Source organism: Homo sapiens, chromosome 11, assembly GCF_000001405.40.
Source record: "Homo sapiens chromosome 11, GRCh38.p14 Primary Assembly".
Classification (NCBI taxonomy): domain Eukaryota; kingdom Metazoa; phylum Chordata; class Mammalia; order Primates; family Hominidae; genus Homo; species Homo sapiens.
This window is the reverse complement of record NC_000011.10, coordinates 130,534,034-130,548,505: the sequence shown is the minus strand read 5'-3', so window position 1 is coordinate 130,548,505 and position 14,472 is coordinate 130,534,034. Positions and strand designations below refer to the sequence as shown.

General features: G+C 45.2%; 1 pseudogene, besides 1 other annotated feature; it reads left to right on the top strand.

Annotated features, from left to right (window-relative positions):
* Positions 852-2,963, top strand: BAK1P2 (BCL2 antagonist/killer 1 pseudogene 2; annotated as a pseudogene).
* Positions 11,546-11,746: a silencer, noted in NCBI's record as "peak1516 fragment used in MPRA reporter construct". NCBI's record gives its function as "represses an SCP1 promoter by STARR-seq MPRAs in K562 erythroleukemia cells {active_cell/tissue: K562}" and the evidence as "EXISTENCE:reporter gene assay evidence [ECO:0000049][PMID:32103011]".

Genomic DNA, 14,472 nt, shown 5'->3' with positions numbered 1-14,472 from the left:
TCTTCTGTCACAGTCCACCCCGAACCATTGCTTCTCAAATCATAATCCCTTAGCAGGACAGCTAGGTGCAGCACGCATGACACAAACACCAGCCCTTGCCTACAATCTCAGCCACTATCTTGAGTCTGAGCAACTAGTCTAGTGGCAGCCGCGCCCTTCCTTTTCAAGAGAGTTCTGGGATCAGATCCTTTCACAAACAGATCCCTCCCCACCTGCCTGTTGTCCAGGTCTGCACACTGAAAAGTAAGACAGCATTTGCTAAGCCATATTTCAAAAAGTTTGCTTATACCTTCATCTCAGGACAACAAGTGCCTGCTTAAGAGCCTTATGTTTGTGTAACTGGTATTTTTTTTTCCCCTGACCTTCCAAGGCCTAGTCTACTTTCTCCCTCCCTAGCTGAACAAAAGTGAAGTTGAAATAATTTGAACTACCCCTTTTAGTGGGCAGCCCATTTGATTTTTACCTTAGCCAGAGCCTTAATTTGTCCATGTGAGCATAGCAGTACCTTGCAGCACCTGAGGCACAATACATTGTTTAAAGAGTGACAGTGCGTCCCATTCCAATAAGAACCACACTCAGAGCAAAGGTTCCCTCGCCTGTGTGGAGAGTGACCCATGGTAGAAAATTTGCAGACTTCGTTACCTCTTCATCAGTTGAAAAATCTATTTATTCATTTATGCATTTAATTTTCCCTATCTAAGCCAGGGATAGTCAAACATTTTCTGTAAAGGGCCAAGTAGCATGATAAATATGTTAGGCTCTGCAGGCCACTTACAGTTTTGTCATGTATTCTTTTTTGCTCCCTGTTTGTATTATTTTGTTTACAATGCTTTAAAAATGTAAAAAAACAGATGATCACTGGAGTCTCACGGGTCCCTCGGGCCACACAGGGACAAGCAAAGGCTACATCCAGATACCAGAAATGCACTGACGCCCGTTCCTGGAAGCTGGGCTCCCACTCAGCCCCTGGGAGCAGCAGCCTCCAGCCCCTTGGGACCTTCAACTCCACCCTGCTGACCCACGCGGGTTGAGCCAGCATCCCTGGAGGCTGACACTGTCCTCCACTGAGACCTGAAAAATGGCATCGGGGCAAGGCCCAGGGCCTCCCAGGCAGGAGTGCGGAAAGCCTGCCCTGCCCTCTGCTTCTGAGGAGCAGGTAGCCCAGGACATGGAGGGGTTTTCCGCAGCTACGTTTTTTACCACCATCAGCAGGAACAGGAGGCTGAAGGGGCGGCCGCCCCTGCCGACCCAGAGATGGTCACCTTGCCCCTCCAACCTAGCAGCACCATGGGGCAGGTGGGACGGCAGCTCGCCATCACCAGGACGACATCAACCGGCACTATGACTTCGGAGTTCCAGACCATGCTGCAGCACCTGCAGCCCACGGCAGAGAACGCCTACGAGTACTTCACCAAGATCGCCTCCAGCCTGTTTGAGAGTGGCATCAACCGGGGCCGTGTGGTGGCTCTCCTGGGCTTCGGCTACCGTCTGGTCCTACATGTCTACCAGCACGGCTTGACTGGCTTCCTGGGCCTGGTGACCCGCTTCGTGGTCTTCATGCTGCAACAAGGCATCGCCCGGTGGATCTCGCAGAGGGGCGGCTGGGTGGCAGCCCTGGACTTGGGCAATAGTCCCATCCTGAACGTGCTGGTGGTTGTGGGTGTGGTTCTGCTGGGCCAGTTTGTGGTAAGAAGATTCTTCAAATCATGACTCCCAGGGGTGTCCTTTGGGGTCCCAGCTGTGACCCCTGCCTGGACTTAAGCCAAGTCTTTGCCTTCCCCACTCCCTTGCAGGGGTCACCCTTCAAAAGTACAGAAGCTCTAGCAAGTGTGCACCCCCGCTGCGGAGGGCCCCTGCGTGGGGGCCAGTCAGGCTGCGGAGGCACCTCAACATTGCACGGTGCTAGTGGGCCCTCTCTCTGGGCCCAGGGGCTGTGCCCTCCTCCCTTGGCTCTCTGGGACCTCCTTAGTCTTGTCTGCTAGGCGCTGCAGAGGCTGATAACTTGGGGAAGCAAGAGACTGGGAGCCACTCCTCCCCAGTAAGTGTTTAACGGTTTTAGCTTTTTATAATACCCTTGGGAGAGCCCATTCCCACCATTCTACCCAAGGCCGGGATGTCTGGGGTGTGGGGGTTGGTGGGTCTACACTACGTGCCCCAGGATTCAGCTATTCTGGAAGATCAGAGCCTAAGAGCTAGGACTTGATCCTGGTCCTGGCCGTCCCTAAGCATCATGTGTCCCAGGAGCAGGACTGACTGGGAGAGGGGGACCAAGGTCCTACCCAGCTCTCCCCGTGCCCCCATTCCTCCCTCCGGCCATACTGCCTTTGCAGTTGGACTCTCAGGGATTCTGGGCTTGGGGTGTGGGGCGGCGTGGAGTAACAGGCCAGAGCTGTCTGAACTTATGTGTCAGAAGCCTCCAAGCCTGCCTCCCAAGGTCCTCTCAGCTCTCTCCCTTCCTCTCTCCTTATAGATACTTGCTCCCAACCCATTCACTACAGGTGAAGGCCCTCACCCCCATCCCTGGGGGCCTTGGGTGAGTGATGCGCTAAGGCCCCTCCCCGCCCAGACTACAGGGCTTGGTTTAGGGCTTGGTTTGTTATTTCAGGGATAAGGAGTAGGGAGTTCATCTGGAAGGTTCTAAGTGGGAGAAGGACTATCAACACCACAGGAATCCCAGAGGTGGGATCCTCCCTCATGGCTCTGGCACAGTGTAATCCAGGGGTGGAGATAGGGAACTGTGAATACCTGAACTCTGTCCCCCGACCCTCCATGCTCCTCACCTTTCTGGGTCTCTCCTCAGTGTGGGGGTGAGAGTACCTTCTCTATCGGGCACAGCCTAGGGTGTTGGGGGTGAAGGGGGAGAAGTTCTTGATTCAGCCAAATGCAGGGAGGGGAGGCAGAAGGAGCCCACAGGCCACTCCCTATCCTCTGAGTGTTTGGAAATAAACTGTGCAATCCCATCAAAAAAAAAAAGGAGAAAAAAATGTAAAAAACATTCTTAGCTGTAAGCTACTTATAGGGGGATAAAGACAGGACTGTTAATGGACACAAACATACAGTTAGAGAGAAGAAATAAGTTCTGTCCAGGCGCGGTGGCTCACACCTCTAACTCCAGCACTTTGGGAGACCAAAGTGGGAAGATCATTTGAGTCCAGGAGTTCGAGACCAGCCTGGACAACATAGCAAGATCTTATCTCTACAGAAAATTTAAAAAAAAGAAAAAAACTAGCCGCACAGGTCTGCAGTCCTAGCTACTCGGGAGGCTAAGGTGGGAGAATCCTTGAACCCAGGGATTTAGTTTGAGGTTGCAGTGAGCTATGATTGCACCACTGCACTCCAGACTGGGTGACTGAGTGAGACCCTGTCTCAAATATAAAGAAGGAACAAGTTCTAGTTTTCAATAGCGCAATAGGGTGAGTGCAGTTAGCAACAACATATTGTGTATTTCAAAATAGCTAGAAGAGAGGATATGAAGTGTTCCCCAAACAAGGAAATGATAAACGTTCGAGGTGACAGATACCTTAAATACCCTGATTTGATCATTACACATTCAATGTATGTATCAAAATATTACATGTACCCCACAAATTTGTGTAAATATTATGTATCCACTTTTTAAAGTTGGCAGAGCCCAAAAGCACTACTATGGCTTCCAGTGGTCACTGTGAGCACTGCCAGCTCAGCAAATGTATCACCCAAAATCTGGGCAATGTGGGAAATTGGCTTCATGGCAGCTATGGCTTTGCCACTGATAGGAATGATTTCCAGAGATACTTAATCCTCAATTCGGGACTCTTTGCTTCAGGAGTTTGGCTGGCCAGGAACATGAGTGACAGTGACCTCTTGGCACTTCAGCTGGGGGTGTAGCCAAGCAGACAAATGGAATCTTGTGCTGAACCCAAACCTTCTAGAAACAGAGCCTGTGAGCATCACAAGATATGCCCTGATGGAAGCTGAAGTTTAATTCAGCTGAGCGCTTGCCCCTTTCCAACCTGGTTTCTTTTTGTTCCTTGAGTCCAGTCAGAATGCCATTCCCTGGCCAGCAGCCAGCCTTTAGTGACTGTCTCTGTTCTGCAAAGCTCTGTATATAGTTACTGAGTTTCTGCAGGGGGTGATCTTTGCTCTTGTCCTAAGAAATAACTACAGTGTTTTAAGAAATATTTGAGGCCGGGTGCAGTGGTTCACACCTGTAATCCAGCACTTTGGGAGGCCAAGGCAGGTGGATCATGAGGTCAAGAGTTTGAGACCATCATGGCCAACATGGTGAAACCCCATCTCTACTAAAAATACAAAAATTAGCTGGGTGTGGTGGCGGGCACCTGTAGTCCCAGCTACTCGGGAGGCTGAGGCAGGAGAATCGCTTGAGCCTGGGAGGCGGAGGTTGCACTGAGCCGATATCACGCCACTGCACTCCAGCCTGGCGACAGAGTGAGACTCCATCTCAAAAAAAAGAAAAAATAAATAGTTGAAATAAAGACTGCACATAAAGACAAAAAAAAAGTTTATAAAGTTAAAAAATAAAATAAAAAACAGGCTCCAGGCTGGATTGGGCCCAGAGGCTGTAGGACACAGACCCCCAGCCAATGACTTCATAAATCCGGATGTTAATCAGCCTCACCTGGGAATTTGGGGAGGGGACTCATTTTAAAACAGTTTCCTGGATTCTAACCCAACCCAGAAAATCAGACTCTTTGAGCTAAATTCTTAAGCTCCCTGGTGATGATGATGGAACCAGTTTATGGCTGACCCCAGAGTCACGTCTGAAAGACGTGCCACATCCCTCTCTCTCCAGCCTCCCCTTCTCCTCCATTCCCCAGGGAGAATTCTTTTACCTGCTTCAATACTATTGTTGAGCAATCTCTATAAAGCTATACCCTTCTCTCTTCTAATACATTCTTGTCTATCTGCTTACCAATTAAACACATGTACTTTATATTTTAATACTCCTTTTTAATAATACTTGAGAATTTTGTTAGTAGTCCTTTCCTCATACAACTTGCTGGAAGAAGCAGTGTTTCTCCTCCCTGCTAAAAGAAAAACTTCAGATAAATTAAATTCAGCAGTTTCCCTGAGCAAAGAACAACTTATGAATCAGGCAGCACTCAGAACTGGAAGAGGTTCTGCAAGCTCTACCCTCGCAGTGTGAGCAGAGGCTTTTACAGGCTGAATGCAAAAGCAAAATCCTTGATCAGTTGATTAGCTAAAGCCAGGTGTTTGTCTTATTATCTGATGGAAAGCCCCCAGTTGAGTTTAGCTAATGGTTTCTGACTGATAAAGCTTGTGTCTTATTTTATTGTTTGACTGGACTTCAGTCTGCTTACATATGAACCCAAGGCACTGGTGCCATCCTAGCCTAATGGTATCCCAATTAATTTTTTTTTTGAGACAGAGTCTTGCTCCGTTGCCCAGGCTGGAGTGCAGTGGCACAATCTTGGCTTACTGCAACCTCCACATCCCAGGTTCAAGCGATTCTCATGCCTCAGCCTCCCAAGTAGCTGGAATTACAGATGTGCAATACCATTCCTGCTAATTTTTGTATTTTTAGTAGAGATGGGGTTTTGCCATGTTGGCCAGGCTGGTCTCAAACTCCTGGCCTCATGTGATCTGCCCACCTTGGCCTCCCAAATTTCTGGGATTACCGGCGTTAGCCACCGTGCCCAGCCCCAATTAAATTTTTTAACACCCCAAAGCACCGCCTTCACCACTGCCCCATCCTGGCTGATACCATAATTCCTCTTCAACTCCATCCTTTCAGCTAAGTATGCACCAGCTTCTGCCATAGTCACTTTTGGGTTGAGGGATACAGTAGTTATCCAATCTTGAACCTTACCTCAGAAGGATGAATATCCTGTTCTTCAGAAGGTTTTCATAGTTGCACTAATGGATTTCTGGTTCCTCAGGGCCACAGTGCATAAACAGGCTACTTACTCACATGAGCCAAAGTTAAACCTATGGAATCCTAAAAAAAATTTTAAGCATAGCACATAACAAAAGCAAAGCCAAAAATCAAGGCAACTGGGAATAAAAGCCAACTTTTCTTGGGTTTATGCAGTCAGCCCAGGATTTTGAAAGAAATTGGCATTCAGTCCCTAGATGCAAACTGGATCAAAATGATGCTGAGATCACTCAGGCATAACCCATAACCTTAGTGTAGGTACAGAGGGGATGGAGATTTTCATGGAACTGTTGCTCACAGCTTCTTCAGAACTTTTCACTGAAACATAGTACACGAGTTGGCTTCACAGCTGTGATTTCCAGAACTTTGTCAACATTTTAGAAGCATTGGACAAGAAGTCTTGACCAAAAGGATTCAAAAGCCAGCTCCATTTGAGTTGATTCATGACTCAAACGGAATTGGAGAGAAGCTAAGAGTGAGGTTAGGGGTGGGCAGGGCATGGATGGCAGGCACAGTAATAAGAAAAGCTGGTCTGAAGAAAACAGTCCAGAAAATAAGGACTAGCCTGTTGGCCTTGGTCTCCCAGCAGCTCCCAGCGGACTTAATTAGAGTTGAATATTCTTTTATATCTGTTGTTGTATAGGAATTTATATCTGTTGGGAGTTGAGATGCAATATCTACCCTTTACTTGGGTGGCAAGGGGCATTAAAGAAGAGGCCAGAAGGAGAGGACATTGGGGAAAATGAGTCAAGAGTTTCAGAAGCCATAGAAAGTTTTTAAAGTGCATCAATAAGATGCAAAACTCTAAAACACTTAGGACGTAACACAAGAGAAATCCTATGACCTTGGTTTTGGTGATGACTTTTTAACTACAACACCAAAGTCATGATCCATGAAAGAAAGAAATGATGAGCTGAACTTCATCAAAATTAAAAACTTCTGCTCTGCAAAATACTCTGTAGAGAGAATTAAGACAAGCCACAGACTGGGAGAAAATATTTGCAAAAGATATATCAGATAAAGGACTGTTAACTAAAATATATAAAGAACTCTTAAAACTCAACAATAAGAAAATGAACAATCTGATTAAAAGATGGGCAAAAGATCTAAACAGATGCCTCACCAAAGAACATATACAGATGGCAAATAAGTATATAGAAAGAAGCTCAACATCATATAATTAGGTAATTGCAAATTAAAATAATGAGATACCACTAAACACCTATTAAAATGGTGAATAATCCAGAACACTGACAACACCAAATGCTGGCAAGGATGTAGAGCAACGGGAACTCTCGTTCATTGCTGGTGGGAATGCAAAGTAGTATAGCCACTGTGGAAGGCAGTTTGGCAGAAAACTGAACATACTTTTACCACATAATCCAGGAACTGTATAGTAAAAGTATGTTATACTCTTTGGTATTTACCAAAATGAGTTCAATACTTTATGTCCACTCAGAACCTGTTTACAGCAGCTTAATTCATAATTGCCAAAACTTGGAAGCATCCAAGATGTCCTTCAGTAGTTGAAGGGATAAAAATTCTGTGGTACATCCCAACAATGGAATTGTATTCAGCACTAAAAGGAAATGAGATATCAAGTCACAAAAAGATATGGAGGACCCTTTAGTGTATTAAGTGAAATAAGCCAATCTGCAAAGGCTACATTCTATATGACTCCAATATATGATATTCTAGAAAAAGCAAAACTATAGAGACAGTAAAAAGATAAGTGGTTACAAGGGATTAATGGGAGGGAAGGGTTAATAGGGAAAGCACAGGAGATATTTAGTACAATGAAGCCATTCTTTTTGATACTATAATGATGGATACACATCATTATACATTTATCCAAACCCATGGAATGCATGACTCCAAGAGTGAACTTTAATGCCAACTACGGATTTTGGGTGATAATGATGTGTCATTGTAGGTTTCTCGATTGTTTAAAAAAAAAAAAAGTGCCAGTCTGAGGGATGCTGATAGTGGGGAAGGCTGTGCATGTGTGGGGACAGGGGCTGTATAAGAAGTCTGCATCTTCCCCTCAATTTTGCTGTGACCTAAAATCATTCTAAAAATAACATCTATTTAAAGTGCACTGGGAATTGAAGGAGATAGAGACATGAAAAACACTTCAAAAAATCAACAAATCCAGGAGCTGGTTTTTTGAAAATTTAATAAAATAGACCACTAGCCAGATGTATAAAGAAGAAAAAAGAGAAGAACCAAATAGACACAATAAAAAATGATAAAAGGGATATCACCACTGACCCCACAGAAATACAACCATCAGAGAATGCTATAAACACCTCTGTGCACATAAACTAGAAAACCTAGAAGAAATTGATAAATTCCTGGACACATACACCCTCCCAAGACTGAGCCAGGAAGAAATTCAATCCCTGAATAGACCAATAATGAGTTCTAAAATTGAGGCAGTAATAAATAGCCTATCAACCAAAAAAATAAAAAGCCCAGGACCAGGCAGATTCACAGCTGAATTCTACCAGAGGTACAAAGAGAAGCTGGTACCATTTTTTCTGAAAGTATTCCAAACAATTGAAAAGGAGGGACTCCTCCCTAACTCATTTTATGAGGCCAGCATCATCCTGATACCAAACCCTGGCAGAGATACAACAAAAAAAGAAAACTTCAGGCCAATATCCCTGATGAATATCCACACAAAAATCCTCAATAAAATATTGCCAAACCAAATCCAGCAGCACATCAAAAAGCTTATCCACCACAATCAAGCCGGCTTCATCCCCAGGATGCAAGGCTGATTCAACACATGCAAATCAATAAACATAATTCATCACATAAACAGAACTAAAGACAAAACCACATGATTATCTCAATAGATGCAGAAAAGGCCTTCAATAAAATTCAACATCACTTCATGTTAAAAACTCTCAATAAACTAGGTATTGAAGGTACACCTAGGTACACCTCAAAATAATAAGAGCTATTTATGACAAACCTACAGCCAATATCATACTGAATGGGCAAAAGCTGGAAGCATTCCCCCTTGAAAACCAGCACAAGACAAGGAAGCCCTCTCTCACCACTCCTATTCAATGTACTATTGGAAGTTCTGGCCAAGGCAATCAAGCAAGAGAAAGAAATAAAGAGTATTCAAATAGGAAGAGAGGAAGCCAAATTATCTTGTTTGCAGATGACATGATTCTATATCTAGAAAACCCCCATCATCTCAGCCCAGAAGCTTCTTAAGTTGATAAGCAACTTCAGCAAAGTCTCAGGATACAAAATCAATGTGCAAAAATCACAAACATACCTATATACCAACAATAGACAAGCAGAGAGCCAAATCATGAATGAACTCTCATTCACAATTGCCACAAAGGGAATAAAATACCTAGGGACATAGCTAACAAGGAGAGTGAAGGACCTCTTCAAGGAGAACTACAAACCACTGCTCGAGGAAATAACAGAGGACAGAAACAAATGGAAAAACATTCCATGCTCATGGATAGGAAGAATCAGTATCATGAAAATGGCCATATTGCCCAAAGTAATTTATAGATATAATACTATTCCCAACAAACTACCATTGATATTTTTCACGGAATTAGAAAAAACTATTTTAAAATTCATATGGAACCAAAAAGAGCCCATATAGCTAGGACAATCCTAAGCAAAAAGAGCAAAGCTGGAGGAATCACGCTACCCAGCTTCAAGCTATACTACAAGGCTACAGTAACCAAAACAGCATGGTACTTGTACAAAAACAGACACATAGACCAATGGAATGGAATAGAGAACTCAGAAATAAGACTGCACATCTACAACCATCTGACCTTCAACAAACCTGACAAAAACAAGCAATGGGGAAAGGATGCCCTGTTTAATAAATGATGCTGGGAGAACTGGCTAGTCATATGCAGAATATTGAAACTGGACCCCTTCCTTATATTTTTGACAAAAATTAACTCAAGATGGATTAAAGACTTAAATGTAAAACACAAAACTATAAAAACCCCTAGAAGAAAATCTCAGCACTATCGTTCAGGACGTAGGCACCAGCAAAGATTTCACGACAAAAATGTCAAAAGCAATGGCAACAAAAGCCAAAATTGACAAATGGGATCTAATTAAACTAAAGAGAAGCTTCTGCACAGCAAAAGAAACTATCATCAGGCCGGGTTCAGTGGCTCACACCTGTAATCCCAGCACTTTGGGAGGCTGAGGTGGGTGAATCACCTGAGGCCAGGAGTTCGAGAGCAGCCTGGCCAACATGGTGAAACCCTGTCTCTACTAAAAATATAAAAATTAGCCAAGTGTGATGGTGCATGCCTGTAATCCCAGCTACTTGGGAAGCTGAGGCAGGAGAATTGCTTGAGCCCGGGAGGTGGAGATTGCAGTGAGCCGAGATCATGCCACTGCACTCCAGCCTGGGCGACAGAGTGAGACTTCGTCTCAAAAAAAAAAAAAAAAAAAACTATCGTCAGAGCAAATAGACAACCTATAGAATGGGAGAAAATGTTTGCAACCTGTTTTGCAACCTGTCCATCTGACAAAGGCCTAACATCCAGAGTCTACAAGGAACTTAAACAAATTTACAAGAAAAAAACCAAACAACCTCATTAAAGAGTGGACAAAGGACATGAATAGAGACTCCTCAAAAACAGACATTTATGTGACCAACAAACATATGAAAAAACCTCAACATCACTGATCATTACAGAAGCGCAAATCAAAACCACAGTGAGATGCCATCCCACACCAGTCAGAAAGGCAATTATTAAAAAGTCAAGAAATAGCAGATGGTGGCGAGGCTGAGGAGAGATAGGAACGCTTTTACATGGTTGGTGGGAATGTAAATTAGTTCAACCATTGTAGAAGACAGTGTGGCGATTCCGCAAAAACCTAGAACCAGAAATACCATCTGACCCAGCAATCCCATTACTGGGTATATACCCAAAGGAATATAACTTATTCTACTATAAAGATACATGCACAGATATATTCATTGCAGCATTATTCACAATAGCAAAGACATGGAATCAACCCAAATGCCCATCAATGATAGACTGGATGAAGACAATGTGGCACATATACACCATGGAATACCATGCAGCCATAAAAATGAATGAGATCATGTCTTTTGCAGGGATATGGATGGAGCTGGAAGCCATTATCCTCAGCAAACTAAAGCAGGAACAGAAAACTAAACACCACACATTCTCACTCATAAGTGGGAGCTGAACAATGAGAACACATGGACACAGGGAGGGAAACAACACACTCTGGGGCCTGTTGCGGAGATGGCAGGAGGACAGGGGAGAGAGAGCCTCAGGAAAAATAGCTAATGCATGCCCATGCGGGACTTAATACTTAGGTGATGGGTTGATAGGTGCCGCAAACCACCATGACACACGTTTACCTGTGTAACAAACTTGTACATCCTGCACATGTACCCTGGAACTCAAAATAAAATAAACTGCCCTGACCACCCTGCAGCAACAATGAAGTGGAATTGGATTAGACTTTTTTTTTCTTTTACTCAGAATGAGTTCTGGTCCCAAAACAATAGCAGACTCTGCCTGGATAAAGGAGGCAAAACAACCTAAAATATCATCTAGAATCCTGCTGTAACGGATACTCTATACACATTTGTGGAGTGAATAACTCCTCTGAGCCTGTTACCTCAGCATCCTCATCTGACCTGAGGCAGAGTTTGGCAACAACCATGCATGTACACACCATTCCAGCAAGTCACTGAGGAAATCAAGGTGTAGGCTCATTCCAGTGCTTCCTTTGCTCAACAACTTGTCCAGTCCCAAAGCTCAAGCTAAACACATCTTCTGACAAAGCCAAAAACCCTGAGTCATCCTCAACTCCCCTCCTTCTTTCATTCCTCAGATGGGCGAATGTTGTCAGCTCCATCTTCCAAAAAGATCCAGAATCCAACCACTTCTTTCATTTCAGTCACGCCCACCTGGCCCAAGCCACCACCCATTCCTGCCTCTCAACTCTTTCAGCCCCAGTGGTCTCAGTCCCTCCTCCACCCCGAAGCTTCTACCTCACCCAGAAAAGGATCCTATATCCTCACTTGCTGTGACTACAAGAACTGCGGTGGTCCAGCCCCTGTTCCCTCTCTGATCTCATCCACCCCTCCTGACTCCGCTCCAGCCCACAGCCTCCTCCTTGTCCTCTGAGCACACTGGCACCTTTCTCCTCAGCACCTCCCTGCTCCCGTGAGCATGGCTTCTCCACCAAAGAGCCTCCTGTTTCATTCAGGTCTCTAAGCAAGTGTCACTGACATTGGAAAGAAAAAGGACATTCCCTGTACCCTGTGTAAACTGCAGTCACACACCCTCTCCTGCAGCCCCTTGGCCCTCTCTCCCCTTCTCACCCTGATAGCACTGATCCCTGCTTGGAGCGTTTGTGCGTGCACTCCTTCTGCTGTCCTGCCTTTCTCTCCCACTGACACGGAAGCTTCACCAGAGCTCATCTGTCTGTTGACTGCTCGTGTCCAGGGCCTAGAACAGGGCATCGCACACAGTAAGCATTCAATAAATGTGGGAAGGAAGTGAGAGGTGGGAAGGGGCAGCCTGGCTGGCTGGTTTTCTCCTACAGAGTCCTCATTTCAGCACTGTCCATTGTTAAAAGAAAAACTTTAGACAAGTCAAATTTAAGAGTTCAACTGAGCAAAGAACAGTTCACAAATCAGGCAGCCCCCAGAACCAGAACAGGTTCAGAGCAACCGCAGGGCTGCCACAGGGTCAGATAACATTTACAGATAGGAAACAGAAGGTGATGGACAGAAAATGGAAGTGGGGTGCAGAAACAGCCAGACTGGTTACAGTTCAGTGTTTGCCTGATTTGAGCAGGGTTTGAACAGTTACCGCCTGTGACTGGCTGAGACTCAGTGACTTGTTACTAGGAGGTTACAGTCTGTTTACGCATCCTGTTAGGTGGCAGTTGGCTGGGTGTGCAGAAACCTTCAGGCCAAACCTGAAATACGTAGGAGGCAGCTTTAGGTCCGATTTAATTTCACGCTGTCTACACCTACCCTTTCCTCACCACTCTGCAAGACTGTGAATAACACAAAAGAAATACAAGACACTCTCCTTGTCCCTAAGAATCTCAGACTTGTAAAGAATGAGAAAATACACTAAAAAGAACTCAGCGAATAACAGGAACAATTCACTATGCTGAATAGAGTATCAAGAGGTAAATATATTTGAACACAGACAAGCGTTATGGGAACCAGGAAAGAACGAGAACTCCGTGGAAACTGGATATAGCTGTAAAGGCTAAGCTGTGCGCATTTCTCTGGTCCTACAAGGCACGTCCCCCCATAAAGAGTCAAGACACACCATATCGTGTTCTCAGAATTGGTTCTGTGGAAATTCGCCCAAATCTTTCCGCAGTGCACATTACCCACAGCTTCAAGGGTGTCCAATGACCTAAGCACCCCGAGCTCCTTTTTCTCATTCTTGCTGTTTCTTCCACTGACCTACAAATTCAACCTGCCTAGTCAACCCCTCCCCAGCCTTCTATCTGCTTCTACACTGCGGGCAAGGAGCAAAGTCACCGCTGAGCTTTCCTTGACTCCATTGCTGATGTTTTTCTTGCCTTTACAGAACTCCCGCTCTCTCCCATTCAGTCTCAACACAGCTTCATTGTTCTTCTCTTCGCCTGTTTTTAATCTTTTCTCTCTCCCCACAATCTCCACTGCATCACCTCGTCCTTACTCATTTCTTCTGGATTTTCCTATATGGAGGTTTGCATTTATAGCTCACCTCATTGCCCCGTTTTTTAATAACTGGGAAATGTCTCTGCCAAAAGCATTCTCTTACGGGGAAAAAAGCGCATTCCATCATCTCCCGGCACCACCCATGAGAGGTGAGGAAGCACCTAGTAAATCATTCTTGTGCATTCTCCTGTGGCCAGACCCACAGAGGTGGCCAGCACAGCACTGTCTGCCGTCCTGCTCTCCACTCGGCTGCGTTTCCTGCACCTCAGCCCTCCTACTCGTCTGCCCATGCACCTAGGGAAGGATTTTAACTCAGTGCCACCCCTCCAGAGAAAAGGAAGCTGGAGATACCCTGATGCATCAGCACATGGGAAGGAATGTTCTCCAAGCAGCCAAAATAACGGGCCCAGCTTGGACTTGGAGTTGAAGTTGTATGCAGCAGGCAGGAAAGTTTGGTCTCACTCCAGACTCAAGCTGAATGGGGCCACCTTTCCCAGGGTGGGGAGGTCCCCTCCATGTCCACCCTGGCGAATCAGTGGGGAGAAGAGACACATTTCTCCTCCACTAACTAAAAGTACCCCTAGGTTCCACAAGTATGGAAGGAGACAAGGTGTCCATCAACCCACGAGCAAGGACTGGAGGACCGAGAGATAGAGGGTGAAGCTCACTAGATCAAATTAGAAACATCCATCTATGTGACTTGCCACCCCTGTAGCTTCAGTCTGTCCATGAGGCTTTCTATGGGAAGAGTAATGCACTTGTTGGAGAGGCAGCTGGTTTTCATTATGGGCGAAAGAAGTTCAAAAATAAATACAGCCTCCCTCACACCCACCCCAAACCCAGTGCACATTCA